General features: G+C 44.2%; 1 protein-coding gene across 3 annotated transcripts in view, besides 4 other annotated features; it reads right to left on the bottom strand.

Moving 5' to 3' along the window:
• Positions 1 to 20,014, bottom strand: part of ADCY2 (adenylate cyclase 2) — a 433,944-nt gene that overhangs the window by 7,551 nt on the left and 406,379 nt on the right. For 2 of the 3 annotated variants that reach the window (NM_020546.3, XM_011513942.3), the window contains 3 exons: positions 17,839 to 17,946; positions 5,551 to 5,665; positions 1,842 to 1,966 (listed from right to left, as the gene is read on the bottom strand). In NM_020546.3, coding sequence (NP_065433.2) covers positions 1,842 to 1,966; positions 5,551 to 5,665; positions 17,839 to 17,946 — 348 coding nt within the window. Of the gene's footprint in view, positions 1 to 1,841; positions 1,967 to 5,550; positions 5,666 to 6,607; positions 7,303 to 17,838; positions 17,947 to 20,014 lie in introns of those variants that run through there. The other variant, XM_047416645.1, reaches the window with a different exon arrangement.
• Positions 5,101 to 5,828: an enhancer, noted in NCBI's record as "H3K27ac-H3K4me1 hESC enhancer chr5:7816816-7817543 (GRCh37/hg19 assembly coordinates)". NCBI's record gives its function as "activates a minimal SCP1, AML or CMV promoter by ChIP-STARR-seq in primed H9 embryonic stem cells {active_cell/tissue: H9 hESC(primed)}" and the evidence as "EXISTENCE:reporter gene assay evidence [ECO:0000049][PMID:30033119]".
• Positions 5,829 to 6,557: an enhancer, noted in NCBI's record as "H3K27ac-H3K4me1 hESC enhancer chr5:7816087-7816815 (GRCh37/hg19 assembly coordinates)". NCBI's record gives its function as "activates a minimal SCP1, AML or CMV promoter by ChIP-STARR-seq in primed H9 embryonic stem cells {active_cell/tissue: H9 hESC(primed)}" and the evidence as "EXISTENCE:reporter gene assay evidence [ECO:0000049][PMID:30033119]".
• Positions 6,794 to 7,331: an enhancer, noted in NCBI's record as "H3K27ac-H3K4me1 hESC enhancer chr5:7815313-7815850 (GRCh37/hg19 assembly coordinates)". NCBI's record gives its function as "activates a minimal SCP1, AML or CMV promoter by ChIP-STARR-seq in primed H9 embryonic stem cells {active_cell/tissue: H9 hESC(primed)}" and the evidence as "EXISTENCE:reporter gene assay evidence [ECO:0000049][PMID:30033119]".
• Positions 7,401 to 7,695: a silencer, noted in NCBI's record as "tiled region #1766; K562 Repressive non-DNase unmatched - State 21:Repr". NCBI's record gives its function as "represses a minimal TATA promoter and a strong SV40 promoter by Sharpr-MPRA in K562 cells {active_cell/tissue: K562}" and the evidence as "EXISTENCE:reporter gene assay evidence [ECO:0000049][PMID:27701403]".

Raw genomic sequence — 20,014 nt, 5'->3', positions numbered from 1 at the left:
GAAGGACCATAAAACCTTGGTATCTCCAAGCTCTTCACTGAAACACATTCTGTGTTGCTAGATGTTTGTGCCTCTGAGGGGGACAGATATTACACTGGCGTGTCATTTTGTCATTATGATAGCAAGCTTCAGGATAGCTTCTTGGTGTAATAATGGTAAAATTGAATGAAATTCTAGTATTAACCAAAATATATTAAGTGGATTTGGGTGTGGGTTCAATGATGAAAATTAAAAAGATAATCTCTAACCACAGTTTAAGCAAAATTTCCAAACCATGATACAAAATGGCTTTTGCTATAAATATATTTAAAGTTACATCTAAACCTTGTGAACATGTTTACCATTCTACATATATTATCCAAGAGTATAATGGTAGATTTAAAATGTAATGACATGCACCTCTTTATCTTCTTCTTATTCTTTTCTTAGCTGAGATCCCCTTCTTTCTTCCGAATACTGGAATGAACTGTAGCTTCCTGTTTCCACTCTTGCACCCTTCCTTCTTCACTTTTCTCCGTTAATGCTGCAGATGTTGCTACTGAGCTGTGAGCCCACTCTCCAACCACACACTGTTCCAATCTCCTTCCTTCACCGGGGGAACCTCAAACCACCTTTATTTTCACTGGTCCCCTCACTCCGTTCTTCCTGTGAGCATTGCCCCTGTTCAGGATAATTCTTGAACGCAGCCTTGAACTCCCTTCCCCTTCTGCTCCATCAGCTCACTTCACATCTGAAAAGGTGGTCTTCACACACTGTCTCCAGTTCCACACCTTTCTTACTCACACAGCCTGTCGTCTGAAAATCGAGTTCTCCAGAGCCTTCCCCAGCCACACAGGCCAGCTGAAGTCCTCCAGCACAGTCACACTTGCAGTGGCACCACTGTGACTTCTGGTGGCTAACGGTCATCTCCAAGAGAACATTCGCTGTACAAGGGCAAAGTTGAGTTTGACTTGCTCATGCTGTAGCCACAGCATCTAGTCAGCACGTGGGAGGAGCACAGGACGTGGGTGCGGAATTATTGAAGAACAGGCTTGACCAAGCTGCCATCTTCGTAGCCTCCCTTGTTTCTCTTCCCGCTCTTCCTTGATTCTGTCACTGTCAACCTGGGCAGAACCACTGCTCTTTTGTAACTGGGGGGATAGTTTCAGCATAGTTCTAATAACAGATTTTTTTTCTATTATCTTTTCAGTGATTTTAAAATACTTTTAAAAATACAATATTATTAGTGCTATTGTAATATAGTTACTTTAACCACGATTATAATTGATTTAATGAGCAATGGGAATAGTCACATAAAATAATTTTAGTTTTCTCCAACCACTGCTTTTCATTTGTTACACCTTCCTTTCTCCCTCTTGGGTGGATTCCAGAGCTGCCATTCATATCAACCTTCTGTTTCATCTCCCACCTCTCCGAAGCCTACCACTTCCCCTCCTCCCAATTCAGCTTGAGAGAAGAAGGTGAGGGGTTGTGTCTGGTTTTGGTTGCATGTGATCCCTCTCGTTTGCAAAGTCCTTTTTAAGGTATTAGCACCAGGAGAAGTAATAAAGGTTCTCCTGTACTGAATGCTCAGGGCTGTTGTGCCATCATGCTGGTTGCTGCTGGATCATTTGTTTTCACAAATATAATAGCCTTTATATTGTTAGAATTTTGTTGTTGTTGTTAACAGTCAATACAGAAACTGACATTTCCCCAAAAATTGTTCTCCAAAAGATAAGTAAATTTCAAGGTTTACTTTTTTCCTTTGTTTTAATATATTAGTATCCTTATTATACTTATTTATGGTTCCCAAGAGAACAGACATGGTTGATGCAGGCAGCGCAGACCACACTCTGCATTACCTGTATTTTGTCCAGGACTCCGGTGCTGTCCATCCTACTGGCCACATTGACAGTGTTGCCCCAGATATCATATTGTGGCTTCTGAGCTCCAATCACACCAGCTATCACAGGTCCATGGTTAATACCTGTGCCACATCAGAGTTGAGTTAGCAAGATTCATCTTATAACCATTGTCTTTTTATTTTTTTTATTTTTTGAGATGGGGTCTTATTCTGTCACCCAGGCTGGAGTGCAGTGGCGCAATCTTGGCTGACTGCAACCTTCACCTCCCAGGCTCAAGCGATCCTGCCACCTCAGCCTCCCAAGTAGCTGGGGCTACAGGAACACACCACCACACCTGGCTAATTTTTTGTATTTTTGGTAGAGACAGAGTTTTGCCATGTTGCCCAGACTGGTCTCAAACTCCTGAGCTCAGGAGATTCACCTGTCTTGGCCTCCCAAAGTGCTGGGATTACAGGAGTGAGCCACCGCGCCAGGCCAAAGCTTCCCCTTTGCAATGGAAAGTTAGGTCAGGAAACAGCCCCAATACTGTTCCAAGCAGTACCTTTGCAGGTACAGAAGAGGTAAGAAATAAATTCTCCTTTGATTTTGTGGCATACTCAGGAAAACACACTTCTGGTTTAGGCATCTCAAATAATTTATTCCAGCTCTGGCACAGGTCAGAGCACCCAGGGGTCAGCCGCTGGACACTGGCCTGCGGTTCCAGCCTTGCATCTGTCAGCTCAGCTTTTCTTCTGGCCACTGCTCATCCCTGCTTGGTCAGCAGCTCTGGGGGTGGGGAAGAGCCTGGACTGATTATTGCTGGCAACATGGCCATCTCTAGTTAGTGTAGGAGTGTGCTTGATTTGTGGTTCCAACTGATTCTACAGCTAGATATGCTGAAAAGGATGCTAGGAGTGAATTCACCTCATTATTTGTCCCATCGCTTTTGTTGGCAATATTATTCTTCCACTTTGCTATCCCTGAACTACCTCTGGATGTCACAGTGCATGGAGGTCAAGCAGGGAAGTCCCCTCCTGGGAGAGACAGAGGGTCGGGGGAAAGGGAGAATCAAAGGCCAAGTGAAACGTTGAGTTCAGGCTTCCTTAGAAATCTAACAAGGCTGATATATGGGGTTGAGGGTATAGACTTTATCAGTTATTGGACAATCAGGGTAAAGTAGACATTTAATGTCAATAAACACCACTGGAAGGAGGTCCATTCAACAGTTCGCGTGAATCTGAACAATATCACTGAAGTCTAGACCAGGAAAATGGCACGTTGGAGGTAGCACATATGACTGGCAAATAGCCGTTCTGGTCCCATGCTGCAGTGCAGGGCAATATGATTTTGGTCTATATAAGTTTGATAATAGAAGAGGTCATTCTCCCATTGCGATAGTTAATACTAAATGTCAAATTAATTGGATTGACAGATGCAAGGTACTGTTCCTAGGTGTGTCTGTGAGGGTGTTGCCAAAGGAGATTAACATTTGAGTGAGTGGATTGGGAAAGGCAGACCCACCCTCAATGTGAGTGGGCACCATCTGATCAGCTGCCAGCGTGGCCAGAATAAAAGCAGGCAGAAGAACGTGGAGAGATTAGACTGGCTTCACCTCCCAGCCTACATCTTCCTCCTGTGCTGGATGCTTCCTGCCCTCCAGCATCAGACTCCAAGTTCTTTAGCTTTGGGACTCGGACTGGCTTCCTTGCTCCTCGGCTTGCAGACGGCCTAATGTGGGACCTCGCCTTGTGATTGTGTGAGTTAATACTTCTTAATAAACTTTCCTTTATATATACATCTATCCTATTATTTCTGTCCCTCCAGATAACCCTAATACACCCATGTAATACATTTTTTTTTATTTTAAAGAGGTATAGTAGCAAAATTTGAGGAGCCCATTTTCCAAGCTGTCAAAACAGTGTAGAGTCTCTGGGGTCAAAGGGACACGCCCATGTTTGGTGTGGTCATCTCATCTTTGTGTAAGGTAGAGCCCCCGATAGGGGTTTACTATGCACAGAACTGAGAAAGTAGAAAGAAAAATATGGCATTTTGGGAGACTGAGGTGAGCAGATCACTTGAGGTCAGGAGTGAGAGACCAGCCTGGCCAACATGTCTCTACTAAATATACTAAATCTACTAAATATAAATAGTAGAGAAATCCTGTCTCTACTAAAAATACAAACATTAGCCAGGTGTGGTGGCACATGCCTATAATCCCAGCTAGTTGGGAGGCCGAGGCAGGAGAATCACGTGAACCCAGGAGGTGGAGGTTGCAGTGAACTGAGATCGTGCCACTGCACTCCAGCCTGGGTGACAGAGCAAGACTCTGTCTCACAAAAGAAAAAAAAAAAAAAGAAAAAGAAAAAGAAAAATATGATTAAACACTGACAACTAATAGTACAAGTGGAGAAACACATCTCATTTGTGAAAGAGATGTAACATATTTTGGATTTAAATGACATTCAGGACATACCCATAGCAAAGGAAGAAAATGGCTTTAAATATTCAGATTTCTTTTTAAAGTTGAAATTTGTATGTAAGAGAGCGTTAAAAACCATTCAGATAGAATTTGCTGCCTGAACTGCTCTTATATAAACTGACTCTCAGAAGAAGCAAAATGTGTTGCCAAGAAAACCATAAAATGGTCAAAGAAGCTCTTAGAACTCTGAATGGTTGCAAGTAACTGCACACATCGCAACCAAGCTGTGTGTTGACTTGATGGCTTAAAACACACATTTAAAAAAACAACAATTTGTAAAAGGCAAGTCATGAAACATGCTAAAAAAAATCAACTTAAAGTCTGTTAAAAATTTAGAAATCAGGAAGCCTTTGTTTTCAACCAAGTAAACGTTACTTTTTTTTTTTTTTTTTTTTTTTTTTTTTTGGTGACAGCGTCTCTTTCTGTCACCCAGGCTGGATTGCAGTGGCACTATTATGGCTTGCTGCAGCCTCAACCTCTTGGGTTCAATCAATCCTTCCGCCTCAGCCTCCAAAGTAGCTAGGACTACAGGCGTGCGCCGCCAAGCTCAGCTAATTTATTTTTTGTAGAGATGGGGTCTCATCATGTTGCCCAGGCTGGTCTCAAACTCCTGGAATCAAGTGATCTTCCCACCTCAGCCTCCGAAAGTGCTGGGGTTACAGGCATGAGCCACTGCACCAGGCCTAAAGGTTATTTTTTAACAATATTATAAAGAAAGCTGGATTTTTTTTTCTCTAGGATTTGAACACAATCGGAAAAGCTGTCGCTGTTTCAGAACCTATGACACATTTGGTGTTCTTACAGCTTGTGGCCCCAGGAAGATGGAACTGTATTGCAACAATTCTAAGATCCACTTTTTTAAAGAAAATATTTTTACATCTCTGAAATATGGGTGTATCTTATAGTTAGTGGCAGGTCCCAGTTTAATTGGCAACAGCCCATAAAATAATGTAGCAGCTCTTAGTGGATGTCTCACAGTGAATCAGCAACGCAGGATGGCTCAAGGCTGTGCGTGCCGTGTTTGTAGACGCGACCTTGACTGAGTGCAGGTAGCCTAGGTCCAATCAAAGGGTTTTTTTTTTTCTAATTTGTTCAAAAGTGTCCTTCCTTCTGTCATCCAGTCTTGCAACGGGATGCATTTGTAATTGTTCTACTCCAACACTGAAAGGATCATCAATATCTCCTGACTTACTCCTTATTCCACATCTTTGCCACAACTGAAACCGAGACCTCTTTTGCAGAACGTACCCACTCGCAATTTGAAGTCGTTGAAGGAGTGCTTGTTGATGGCATCCAGCTTCCCTACCAGGGCAAAAGCAAACTCCACCATGGTGCCAATGTGCATGTACTGCCGCTCGGGCTCCTGAGAACAAACACACACAGGCAGATGGAAGTTAGAGCATCACAGCTGGAAACTGTTCCCCTTTGTCCCAAACCTGAGCTTTAGGCAGAAAGGAATGCAGGCAAATTCTAATGCTACAAGGCACTGCAAACATTCTATAAGAATCAAATCCCATCTCAAGGAAGCACTGTGTGGCCAAGGGGAGACGTTAGGTGCTAGAAGACACTGACTTCCGTGTCTCAGGCCCCCTCAGGCCAAACGCATCATGCGGGCTAAGGCTGACCACGGGGAACCTGTATCGTATTAGTCCAGAAATCACCAAGGGAAGCTGGCTTTGAGGAGGGGCTGGCGCCTTCTTCCCTCCTTTCCCCTCCACAGCCGGCCTTTGCCTTTCTCTGCGGGGCTCTGGCTCTGGTGGCCTGACCGCTAGGGGGTGCCCGCTCCTTGTCCTTGGGCTGCCAGTGGCGATTGCCCAGTGGGAGGTGCAGTGGAAAAAGAGAGCAGGGAGGAGGCTTGGGGCCTCGTTCCTCCTCTTCCCTGCTCACCGCAGGCTTTCCACAGGGGTCAGTCTTCTTCACGGAGGACAAGGGCTACTGCCCCGGGTGGCAGCTACTGTCTCTGCACTGCAGCTCTCTCTAGTTCTGGGAACATCCCCCTCCTTTTGCCCTCTTAGGCCTTGAAATGGAGGATTTTAGGCTAAATTGTGTCCCTCCAAGTTCATATGTTAAAGTCCTAACCCCAGTCTCTCAGGATATGACCATATTTGGAGATAGGGTCTTTAAAGGGGTGATTAAGATAAAATGAGCTTATAAGGGTGGGCCCTAATCCAATATGACTGGTGTCCTTTTAAGAAGAGGCAGTTAGGACCCAGTCACCCACAAAGGGAAGGCCGTGTGAAGACACAAGGAGAGGAAGGAAAGAGGCCCGACAGGGGGAGAAGAGAGGCCTCAGGAGAGACCAACCTTGCTGACGACTTGATCTTTGGTTTCCAGTCTCCAGAACAGCGAGGCAATTAACTTCTGTGGTTTAAGTCCCCCGTTTGCAGTACTTTGTTATGGCAGCCTTAGCAAACTAATATGGAGGGTAACAATTTCCTCATTTACTCGTCCTTGAGGGCTGTGTCATCCCACGAGGAGGAGGGAATTACAGAGCTGAAGGAGAGAAGTCCTGAAGATTTCCCAGTGGGAAGAAGTGAACATTTCTATGCAGATTTCCTATTAATTTCTGTTTATCATTCCTGTTACCTGTTTATATTTAACATGAATTTGTAGCACTTACTATATTTATATTTGGAATTTCACCTTTTTAAAAGTTTCTATTTTTTGTTACATTATTAGTATATGCGTAGAATTCATTTAATTCCTTTAAATGTCCTGAAGGTTTCTGCTCCCCCAATACTTAACGATTCTGTGCACCAAAGTGGGGTGGAGCACGGTTTCTGTTCCAGCCTGCCTGCTGGGCTGCTGGGCCTTCGGGGTTTCAATGACATGCGGTCCCAGGCCTGCCGGGCATGGCTGCTTGGCCGAATGGATGTCCGTGTTAGCACGGAAGCCAGTGCCTTGTGTCTTTTCAAGTCGGCATCCCTCACTGGTTTGTGAGCTCCACCAGGGTAGAGACTTTGCTCTATTAATCTGTGTCTCCACAGCAGAATAAAGTCCCTGACAAAGAAGAAGAACTCAATAAATGCCTATTGAATAACTATACTTAGGTTGGCAGTGGGATCACCAAGAGGAAATGGCTGGGAGGAATGCAGACACGGACTGGTTAGGCTTTGGCGGAAGGTCAAAGCTGACCGCTGTGCATTCGAGAAGCACGCACCCAGGAAGGATCGTGAATGTGCCCACTACAGCAGGTGAGGGCTCCAAGGGAAGAAAGGAGAGTGGGATACCAGAGGGTTGAGCTGGCAATATGCCCTGGGCTAGGACATGGGTCGGGGGGAGGGGAACCAGCAAGGCACGCTGGAAAACAGCTGAGAGACCAGGAGAAATGGAACCTGGGGCTGCTGCGGGCCTTAGGCAGTGACTTCTGAGATGAGCGTTGGAGCCCAAAGGGAGCTAAATCAGAGATGAAGAAAGGTCCGGGGACAAAGAGGAGCCACCTGCTGACCTTGGGTCACTTTCCTTTACGGAAAGTGAAGAGAAAGCCCAACTCTCAGTGACTCAGAAGGGACGGGTGAGAAGATAGATGGAGACTGTAGACATAAGCACCTATTCAAGGTGACAGCAAGGTAGAGAAAAGCTGCTACTAAGGTGGTAGCTAAAGGGGAGAGGAAAATGAAGAAGGGGTTATTCATCTGCTCCACACAGTGTTTAATAAGGAGTGTGCATGGGGATTGCAGTAACGCAGGGTTTCTCAGCCTTGGCACCATGGACACTTGAACTGGGTTGAACTGGGTTATTCTCTGCTTTGCGGGCTGTCCTGCACATCACAGCGTGTTTAACACCATCCCTGGCCTCTGCCTACTGGACGGCAGGGGCATCCTTCACCTCTCATTGTGACAACCAGAAATGTCTCCATTGACAATAACAATGCTCCGGGGGGCGGGGGGAGGAGTAAAATTGCTCCCAGTTGAGAATCACTGCACTAAACAGTATAAATATGAATGGAGAAGAAGAATTAAATCTCTGTTCAAGAGGGAAAGACATCTTCCTATCCTCAGGTGAATTATATCATTCCAGAAAAAGTCAAAGGAAACAGAACTATTGCAGTAAATTCTCAACTTACAGTTATGAGAGAAAAACCATGTAACTACAAAATTGGAGCTACAAAGTTGACCGTCAGCTAACTTTGGTGGAATTTCAGAATGTCATTTCTTAACAACAGTTAGTCTTTTCTATCATAGCTCACTAGTATTTTTTTTTTTTGTCTCACGACTTATGGGGAAAACCTGATTTGGAGGCTTGTGCAGTCAGTTGGAAAACATCTTGCTCCTTAATAGGAGGCACAAGCTGTTAAATCAACAAGCAAAATCTTGTGTAGTAAAAATTACAACTGCCCAAGTAAGGAGGACATATTTGCCATGGAGAAATGATTTTGCTTTTTACCAAACCAAGGTGCAGCAAACAAGCTCCGCTCCTTGAGAAATTATTGCCCAATCTGTTTTCACACAGTTGGTTTAAACTGGAGGTTTTAAGTGACGTCAGTAATAAAAGAAGAGATTGAGTTCTGGGAATGAAGTTTAATTCAACATCAGTAAGTCATTTGGGCTTAGCAAATCCTAGAAAAAATTATGTTCAGTCTCTAGAAGAACTCAATTCATTTCAACAAGTCTTCATAAGTTTGGTCTCGATAAATACCTGATGGCAGTATGAAGCAGTTATTTCTCCTATTATCTGAATAATTCATGTTACATATCCCCAGCTATTTAACGGGCTTCCAGCTACACAGAGACTACTCGCTCAGTTCTCTGAAACATATTTTATAAACTGGTTGTTTTGGAAGTTTCACCAGCAAGGAACATTGCTTAAAGTAGATGCATGTTTACCAAGATGATTTTATAACCCAAGTGTCTGTTTGGTAATAACCGAGGTAATTTTTTAGGCTAAAATAAACATAACCTTCCTCTTCTGTACTCTCTTCTCCCTCTTCCTTCCATAAATATTCACTGAGCATTTGTCATGTGTCTGGCCCTGTGTTCTATGCTGAAAAACTTCTGGTGTTCAAGTTCCCCTGTATCTGATTTGGAAGATAAATGGGGATTGTTATCTAAGGAGCATTCTGTTCTCCTGACGGGCTTCTAGGAGATCTCATCAGACTTCTCCCAGCTGAGCATAAAAACTGCATACTGTGATAATCAGCTTACCTGGGAGAGGGTTGCCAATGGAATATTGCCTGCATCAGGCAAAAATAGGTTCAGCTCCAGTTTCTTCAATCATTAGCTGTGTGGCCTTGGTAGAGTCATTTAACTTCTCTGGGCCTCAGTTTTCCTCACCTGTTAAATGGGACAATAACGCCCTACCTTTCTTTTATTTTTTTTTGAGATGGAGTCTTGCTCTGTAGCCCAGGCTGGAGTGCACTGGCACCATCTTGGCTCACTGCAACCTCCGCCTCCCAGGCTAAAGCCACTCTCCTGCCTCAGCCTCCCGAGTAACTGGGACTACAGTTGTGTGCCCACCAAGCCTGGTTAATTTTTTGTATTTTTAGTACAGAGAGGGTTTCACCGTGTTGGCCAGGTTGGTCTCGCACTCCTGAGCTCAGGTGATCCGCCCGCCTTGGCCTCTCAAAGTGCTGGGATTACAGGCACGAGCCACTGCACCCAGCCAACTCCCTACCTCATTGGGTTTCAGTTAAGATTGAATAAATGGATACAAGCAATGCATTCAGCCTGCATCCCTGGGTCTTGGGTCTTAGTCTCCTTCATGATAGTGTAGAGATGCATGTCACTCTGCTTGACATGACAGCCACCTAGGAGGAAGATACTAGTATTGTTTTATGGCTAAGTGTGGTACTTTTCCCTCTTACTTACAGCTTTAACAACGACCAAGGTGTCTGACCTTTTAAGTGTCTTTGAGATTCTCTGTATGTATAGTGAACAGGGACAGTTCATTTTCTTTCCGTTTTGAGTTTCCTGTTAACAGCATGAGAGCAGAAGGAAATTTCTCTCTTCTTCTGACACATCATGACAGCTTTGGTGTTTGCACAAAAATACACAGACTTAGGATTTTTTGCTTTTCATTTCCACAGAGACCTAAGCTATTCTCGATTCTTACCAGTGAAGGGAACTGGGGCTATTAGTTTTAATGGACCCCTTAACTACTATGACACTGGCAGGGACGGTCTCTGTATGACTCCTAGCTTCCTCTCTGGCCCATTTGGCAGGATCCCTCTAATCTTCGCAGATTCTCTGTGCCCACCTCACACAGGAATTGCTGTTTGTACTCCCGGTTCACTCCCAGACTGTAAAACTCTGTGAGCAGTCACCAGCATGTACCTGGAACTTGGCTCAGTCAGTAGAGAAAATGTCTGTTGGATGACACAGCAGCCACATAAAGGTCCTAACTCGGAGTGGTCCTCGGGAGTCAGTGGATGTGGACAGCAAGTGTTTCCTGTTCATTGTTTTGTCAGCTCAGTTTTGCCAATAGACTAGGAGGGTGAGGGTAGGAATCTCAGAGGTGGCTCAGATGGAGACTAGGGTCTGATTTGGGGGAAGGAGGGAGCAGAATAATGGAGCAAATTCAGCAAGAGCCAGTGGAGCAGGAGGTCACGCTTATGAACTAGTGATGACCTTCAGCCCACAAACCCAGGCCTGCCATTGGATTTGTTTAGATATAATAAGTAACTAAAATTATATATTTATTTTAGATAATATTTGGATAAAATAATTGTTTTAAAAAATAACATAATTGAAAAGAAAGCAAAAACACAGATTTTTTTTCTTTTTTTTTTTGAGACAGAGTCTCGCTCTGTTGCCCAGGCTGGAGTGCAGTGGCGGAATCTCGACTTACTGCAAGCTCCGCCTCCCGGGTTCACACTATTCTCCTGCCTCAGCCTCCCGAGTAGCTGGGACTACAGGCGCCTGCCACCACGCCCGGCTCATTTTTGTATTTTTAGTAGAGATGGGGTTTCACCTTGTTACCTAGGATGGTCTCGATCTCCTGACCTCATGATCCACCCGCCTTGGCCCCTCAAAATGCTGGGATTACAGGCGTGAGCCACTGCGCCCGGCCCAGATGTTTTTAAGAATAGAAGCAACACCAGTGCTGACACCTTGCTGGAGAACAGCCCCCCTTTCCTCTTGCTCCCCTGCCCTCCCCTCCCTGTCTGTTCCGGGAGTACAAGTTCTTTCCTTCCAGGTTGTTGGGGGAAATGGGTGTCAACCTGTTAGAAACTGTGAGTAATGGCTAGAGGTACTGCATATTACAGCAATACTACAATCAAAGCATGGGTCTGAATGAAAGTTTCCTTCCCTAAACTTTGCTTTTGACTTCAGTTCCTAGAAAAATTTGTTTGAAAAAGATCAAAACTATTTACATACTTGTTAAGACCAGAGTTATCTCTAATCTTTGATTAGGGCAGATTTCCACATCTGAAAAGCCCCTCAGATGTGGAACAGGTGAGGCTCTGGAGTGCAGCAGAAGGAATGAGGCAATAGGGAGTGGTGTGGACTATAGTAGTGGAGAGAACACTCCCAGTCTAATGAACAGTTGCTTCTATGCTCCAGCTGGCTGTTGTCATCAGGATGAAGATCAGGTAGATAACCCACCAATCAAACAGATAACCCACCTACCAGGTAGATAACTCAGGTAGATAACCCACTCATCAGGTAGATAACCCACCAATCAATCAGGTAGCCCACAACCAGGTAGGTAACTCACCAATCAGGTAGATAACCCAGCAATCAAGCAGATAATCCACCAACCAGGTAGATAACCCATCAATCAGGAAAATAACCCACCAAACAGGTAGATAACCCACTAATCAAGCAGAAAACCCACCAACTAGGTAGATAACCCACCCATCAGGCAGATAATCCACCCATCAGGCAGATAACCCACCCATCAGGTAGAAAACTCACCAATCAAGCAGATAACCCACCCATCAGGTGGATAACCCACCATTCAAGCAGATAACCCACCAATCAGGTAGATAACCCACCATTCAAGCAGATAACCCACCAATCAGGTAGATAACCCATCAATCAGGAAGATAACCCACCAATCAGGTAGATAACCCATCAATTTTCAGGAGTACCTGGATCATTTTCCAGCAAAATATCCTTTTTAAAAAAAAGCAAAACTCTACAAGTCAAGGAGAACACACCACAGCCACCAGTTTTCTCTAAAGTCCATGGAAAGAAACAAGCAGGGGCTGCAGGTATGAGGCTTAGAAGAGAGTGAGGTCTTGAGGGCAAAACGAAGGGCCATTGAGATGGGCAAACTCTCATTTTCTACCGACCACTAAATCCAAGCCAGGGTGTCTACACCTCAGGGAGTGTGCTCAGGGAATGAATGAAAGCCCATTTCCAGTTTAATATTTCCTTTCTTGACAAATGCCTGTTTCTTTTACAAACAACAATCAGTTCTTACATGTAATGCAACCATTTAGCCACATTGTTGACTTAAGCTTAAAATTAGAATGGATCATTTCATTTAAAAAGTACAAATGAGGCAAAACAGAGCCAGGCACAAAAGCCCTGCCTCACTAGGTGCTGATATACTTCTGTGCACTTGTTTCTCCATGGGTAAGTATGTTGTTACTGCAAACAGAAAATGCCAAGGTAATTACAAATAAAGGCTAAACTGCAAAAGGCCATTACCCAGATAATTTGCCTCTTTTTGGATTTAAGAAAAAGACATTATTCCTTGGGTTACCCTATATATTTTGTAACTGAATATCTTTTGTTGCCAGACTAAAGATTTGGCTAAACAATAAATAGAAAGTATTTTGTTCATAACTAGAGAAGCAAAGGCTTAAGCCCATTTTGGGCAGGTTACAAAAGGTAAAAGTGACATTCATTTCTTATAAAAGTAACTAATATTAGCATGAATATTTATCAGGTATGTTATTTTCCCCAAATCAATTGTAATGAACTTTCCTTTCAGAATACATTCATTGCACTTCAAAATATTTCTAGGATGCCCTTATAAAGAATCTAATTAAATGCTCTAATCACAAATAGCACATACAGTACTGAGAGAATTTCCCTCCATGGATATGACTACATATCATATTTCAATGTCCTAAAACTCTTATCTCTGTTCTATTTGAGTCAGCAATGGTACCAATATGCAAAACACGGTACAAACCACAACTATATTATTATTACTGTTAGCATTTTTATTACTTACTATGGCCATGGAGTCGATTAAGTATTTTGCATATTAAATATAGTCTTCTCAACAGCCTCATGCAAAGGGCGTGATCACCATTTCATGCGTAAGGTAACAGAAGTGCAGAACACTTAGCTATAATAGTAAGTAATAAGCAGTTTCATTTGATAGTCATGCTCTTTCAACTCTACCCTGAAAACAGTCATGTGTTAACAACAGTGGCTGGGTTTGAAGTCAGTAAGCCATTCAATGATAACTAAGAAGACAAGTTTCATTGCTGGGGCAGCTGAGGGTGGAGGAATGGGGCTCCTGGCAAGGGATTTGCTAAAGGGCTGGGAGCAGCGATGAATGAATAGGATAGATACAAATGTAGGGGTGCAGGGATGCTCAGGAAAGGGTGGGGGCTGGTGGAGGGGCAGGTGAGCCAAGGACAACAGGAAGCAGCACCAGAGAGGCTGCCATGTGGAGCTCTGGACAGACAGATACACCCAGGTCTGAGCCCTACTCTATGGCTACTTGTTTTCCCTAGAACATGGAGAAAGTTACTTGACTGCTCCGTGCCTCAGTTTCTCCATCTTTAAAATGGGCAAAGAGTTTTACTACTTACCTCCTAGGCTTGTTGTAAGGGCTCAGGAGCCATTCAGTAAAGGTTCAACAAGGTCAGGGAAAGAATTTAGAGGGTTTGCATTGGAAGTGGCAGGTTTGTAAAACAGAGTGAAGGAAGCTAAACACTGTCTGGGAGGTGGACTGGGCACAGATGCAATCACTCCCTGAACAAACACGGGTGATCATTTAAAGGCCCTGCTGGGGACTTTGAAGGCCACTGCATAACACATAGCACCTGTTATAGTCTGGATGGTGGCTAAGAAACATACACACACTTCCAGGAAAGTTGAAAATGACAGGTAGCAAACAGTGAAGAAAGGAAATAAGATCTGGACTCAGACAGCTAGGTAAGGCAAAGCTCCCCAGGTTGGGGCACGGGAAAGCCTTCTGTGAAAGTTGGAGCCTTGGCATTCTGATGAGTGAGATTCTGAAAGGCTCCTTGACCAGGCAGGGCATCTTCTGTGAGCATCAGAATCACCTCGGTAAACTAGTGGAAATGGGGGTCCCCAGCCCACCCCAGAGACACAGCAGGCTTGAGGCTGTCCCTGGAAACCACTGTAACAACCACCACAGGTGGTGCTGCTACAGGTCATGGGTGCACCATACCTGGAGAGGATGTGGATAGGACCCAGGTTGGTCTGCACAAAAGCACATGCATGTTTGAGGGCTGGTGTAGAGACTGTAGGGAGAGGTAGGGGATGGGTCAGGGCAGTAGGCTGAGGCAGAGGGTTGGGGCCCTGTTTCCAAAGTGGGGAGGACAAGAAGAAAATGGCAGTAGTGTTAGAAAGCAGGGTGTCTATAGGAAGCTGGAAGTGATCCAAGTCTGGCCCAATGGTCAAGATAGCGGATAGAGGTTTTGGTGGAGATCGAATGTGCAGAGGGGATAGATAAAGTCTTAGGAGAGGTCCCTGATAGAGAAGAGGGGTTGGGGAAAGAATATTACAATGTCCCACACAGAGGGAGCACAGGCTGGGGCCAGACAATGGAAGGGCTCAAAAGCCAAGGGAGGATTACCAGGCAAAGGCAACGGCCATCCACAGACAGGGCGTCACCTAGGACGAATGCTCAGAGAATGTGATTGGACTGGAATTTTGGAATCTGGAAGTGTTTTTTTGGTCATTAAGAGTAGAGTTCCTGATGGCATTGGTGAGGCAGGATTGTGGAGGTGTAGAGAGAAAGTAGAAGGTGAAAGATAAAGGCAGTGGCTATGGACTCTCAGTCTATAAAGCGTGGCTGCGGAAAGGAAGAGAAAAGACCTGGAGACTTTTCTTGAACATCCAGAAGACTGGGTCTGATGGAGGCAGAGTTAGGGTCAGGAAGAACAGGCAGACACGCACCCTGGGCTGTAGAGTGACACTGATTGTGGAACAGGTCTTCATGTGGTGGTGCCTCGGAAGATCTCCCACTCCGAGGCCCTGCCAAAGTATTGTTAGTTGGCTGTCCAAGAGCAAAGGGCTGGAGTGGATGTGATCAGGTGAAGTGCTCCTGATGGCCCTCATTAGATGAGCTGGAGAAGCCTCCAAGTCATAACTGGATGAGGGTGAGGTAAGTGAGGCACTCACCTCAGGAGAGAAACTTCAGAAGGAGAAAGAAGCTCAGCAATCATGAGAAATAATATGCTAGTGCAATATTTTTAAAAATCAAAATCAATGCAGAAAAATTCAAGATGAACTAAAATAATGAAATTTTAAATAAAGATACTGCTGTGGACAGGATTGTGTCCTCCCTAAAATTTATATGTTGAAGTGCTAACCTCCCAGGTGACTGTACTGAAGACAGAGCTTTGTTAGGAGGTAATTATGGTCAACTAAGATGATAAGGGTGGAGCTCCGATCCAACGGAACTGGTGCCCTCTTTAAAGTGGAAGAGAAACCAGCTCTCTCTCTGTCTCTGTCTCTCTCTCTCTCTCCCCTCCATGGGAGGCCTAAGAGAAGTGAGAAGGCTGCTGTGTGCAAGACAGAAGAGGAGCCCTCAGCAGACACCTAATCAGCCAGCACCTCAGTCCTGAATTTCCCAGCCTTCAGAACTGTGAGAAATAAATTTCTGTCATTTAAGCCACCCAGCCTGTGGTATTCTGCCTGGCAGGCCAAGCAGACTAAGACACATAGGTCCTGACAGTGTTGTGCTGAGCATCTTAGAGCCTGAGGCAGTAAGAAAAATGCCTGTCTCTATACATGTCTTAATGTTATTTTTTTTTTAATGGTCAATGTTTTCCAGAACATTAAAGGCATTGGAGGAGCATATATTTGTTTCCATGAAAGCCAGGAAACTAAAATTGTAATTAGTTCTGGTTTGGGTTATAAATAGAATATTTAAAATTAAAAGAATGTTGTACATTTTAATATCTCGATTTTACATTTTTTCAATTTTTTTAACACTTTAATGTTCTGGAAAAAACCCTAACCATTAAAAATCTACAACACCATGCAGAGGATACAGCAGTTTTCCTTTGGCCACAGACTCCATGATGGCTTGAGAGGGTGTTGCTCAGAATTCAAAGGCAAGGTTCTTCTGGGGTTTCTTTTATGGCTTGTTTCTTTTATTTTCTTTATTACTGAAGTAATGCATACTCATTAAAAAATAATAATCTGAAGGCAACCACCTGAAGAGGAGAACCAATGGAATACATATCACTCCAATTAACTGGAAGAATGCTAGGGTTCCATCTTGAGTCAGACGTCTATCCATGTTCTACTCTTTGCCCATGAATGCATGAATGTTAAGCGGGAAACTAGGACCCTCTCATGATATTCCTGGAAGAGGGAGCTCTGTTATGGTGCCTGCTGCCTCTCTCCCCACTCTCACTCTTCCCATGGGAGGTGGTTATGGGAGAGGGGCTCATACATGGTACTCAACCCTTCTTCTCTTTGAGAACCTGCCTGTCCACAGAAAGTGTGTTCTGGTAAGTGCAGTTTCTCTGTGGTCTGCCCAGCAGAGGGCAGGCTCCACAGCAAAGGCCACTGTCCTGAGGGGAAAGGAGGTCTTTTTTACTAATATTCCAACAAGTTACACAAGCATGTCTACATACATGCTGTCTCTCTCTCTCTCTCTCTCACACACACACACACGAGAAAATCTCGAAAACCTTAGTTGATTGAAGATATTCAATTTTGCCCAAATGACCTTTTCAATGAAATTTCCATGTGGCCAACTTGTTTTTTGACCACATTATTTTATTTTAATTCATTTTTTAGATGCGGTGTCACTCTGTCACACGGGCTGGAGTGCAGTGGTGCGATCTCAGTTCACTGCAACCTCCACCTCCCAGGCTCAACCATCCTCCCATCTCAGCCTCTTGAGTAACAGGGACCACAAGTGCATGCTACCACACCTGGCTATTTTTTTTTTTTGTATTTTTGGTAAAGACGGGGTTTCACTATGTTGCCCAGGTTGGTCTCAAACTCCTGAGCTCAAGAGATCCACCCACCTCGGCCTCCCAAAGTGCTGGGATTACAGACGTGAGCCACCGCACACGGCCTTGACTATATTCTTTTAAATCAAAAGACCTGGATCCATTCTTACTGAGTCTCCTTCAAATAACTAGCTTTCATCTTCTACTTCATTGTGTATTTATCTGGTAACAAGCAGCTACTGATTGGTTTTTCTTCTCCTGTTGGCCAGCAGAAGGAGTTCTGTGAACAGATCCTCTGGCTCTAAGAAGTCTGGAATTTTCATCTTCTCTCATAGGACCTTGACCCTGAGCTTTAGGTTGTACAAAATATACAGTTCTTGGGGCATTTCATGGCTGTTTTGGTCCCAGGGTGGTTTGTGGATGGGGTTGAGGCTCACCTGTGCCGTTAAGTGGCCAACGCGTCTTACCTGGGAGTGCTCCTGGCTGGGCACAGCGCTCAGACCTGTTGCTGCCATGTATGTGCTGCCAATGGTCTTAATCTTTTCAACTCCACTGAATTTTGGCTTGGAAAGAAGCTGTGAAGCAATGACAACCGTCCAGTTACTCAGCTGGATGCTGACCTGAAGCTGAGCATTTTATAGAGACATTCTCAAATGCTGGTTCACAGTAATGCCGTGACTTGTTTCAACCACTGCGTATGCACCCTTGGGCCCTGGGCTTTTCCAGGAATGAAAACTTCTTGTATTTCATACAGCGCATGTCCTTGGAGGAAAGTACAGCATAATGATTTACTTCCAAGGAACACGAATTAGCGTTCAAACTTTGCTAGTGAAGGAACCAAGATGAATTATGATGCAAATGACGATGGGCTTGAATAAATTTCCTGACTATGTATTTGAAAGGCATAAATATAAAATTATGATTCAATGAGTGAGCTCTTTCTTGCATGGTCAGAATGATTTATGATCAATTATTAGTGCTGAGGACTGGCTTTTGCCCTCTGAGTGCTTGAGGTGGATGGAATAAAGATCTAGAATGGTTGTCATCAGCCCTAGCCTAATATATGTATTAGGAAGAGAAACCAGCTCTCTCTCTCTCTCTCTCTCTCTCTCTCTCTCTTTCCCCCCTCCATGGGAGGCCTAAGAGAAGTGAGAAGTCTGCTGTTTGCAGGACAGAAGAGGAGCCATACGATATACATGTGTGTGTGTGTGTATATATATACACACACACATATATATAAAAATATATATATATATATTCGAGACAGAGTCTTGCTCTGTCACCCTAGCTGGAGTGCAGTGGTGTGATCATAGCTCAGTGCAGCCTCCATCTTCCAGGCTCAAGTGAACCTCCTGCTTCAGACTCCCAAGAGGCTGAGATCACAGGCATACACTACCATGTGCAGCTAATTTAAAAATTATTTTGCAGAGACAGGGTCTCCCTATGTAGCCCAGGCTGGTCTCAAACTCCTGGGCTCAAGCGATCCTCCCACCTTGGCCACCTAAAGTGCTAGGATGACAGGCACAAGCCACCACAGCTGGCCCGAGCCCTACTATTTCTTGTCTTGGAATTAGTTATCAGCGTCCCACTTGACTCCTCCTTAATCTGCTGAGTTAGGCTTTCAGCTGGGATGGAGGAAAGGTAGGGATAAGAACGGAAGCTGTAGGAAGGAAGAGGAATGGGCTTGAACATGAAGGATGCCCTGGAAGGTCTATACCCGCTCAGGAGGGCAGGGCTCAAATGGCGCTGACCGGAGACCAAGAGCGTTTTCTTGCCCCTCCCTTGGATCTCTTGATTTCAGAGGAGATTCCTCCAGGATTACATATCTAATAATTTAAGACAGATGAGCAAATCCCTGTATCACCTATCCACATATCCACTGTCACTCATTCGTTAGTACTGGGGAATGTTTATTTCACTGAGGAGCAGCTGAGACCCCCAGCCGCTATTTGTCATGATGCACCCAGGATCACAGTGGTAATCGCTGACGGTCATTACGTCACCATGAATATCTAGCATCAACCTCACAGTGATGATGGTGGTGACAGAAAGTGCACAGGGCCCACAAGACATTTAGGAGGTTTGCCTGAAACCACCGTGTTATGTAATCTCATCACTGTATTTCAAAATTCCATGAATCATCATTAACATATGCTCCTGGACAGATGTCAATTTTCTTCTATTTTGCAAGATAGTGATAAGAATAGTGTGGCTGCAATATCCTTAAACCAGAGGGGCGTTTGTTCTTACTGGGAAATAGAACACACTATTCTCTATGTAGAAAGTTGAAAAATAACATCTATTTCAAATTCTAAAACAGACACTCTGTCCCTCCTAAAGTATGTTGTATTATCCCCCCATACAGATTATAATTTTAAGAAAATGTCATCCATGCATAGTGCAAGTTGATATCTGACAAAGGCATTGAAGTAGGCACAGACACACCAATAGTCTATTATAATTCATTATCTTTTTATCTAGAAAGGGATGGGCAAGTATTTTACCGCGAATTCAAGCCTTTGTAAAGAATCCACTAGCACACTGGATACACATTTGATTTAACAGATTTTGGTAGCTGTTCCTAGCAGTCATACCAGCTTCAAAAATACAATGTATTTGTCTACCTTAAATTAGTCAGAGACC

Source organism: Homo sapiens, chromosome 5, assembly GCF_000001405.40.
Source record: "Homo sapiens chromosome 5, GRCh38.p14 Primary Assembly".
Classification (NCBI taxonomy): domain Eukaryota; kingdom Metazoa; phylum Chordata; class Mammalia; order Primates; family Hominidae; genus Homo; species Homo sapiens.
This window is presented reverse-complemented; position numbering and strand designations above follow the sequence as displayed.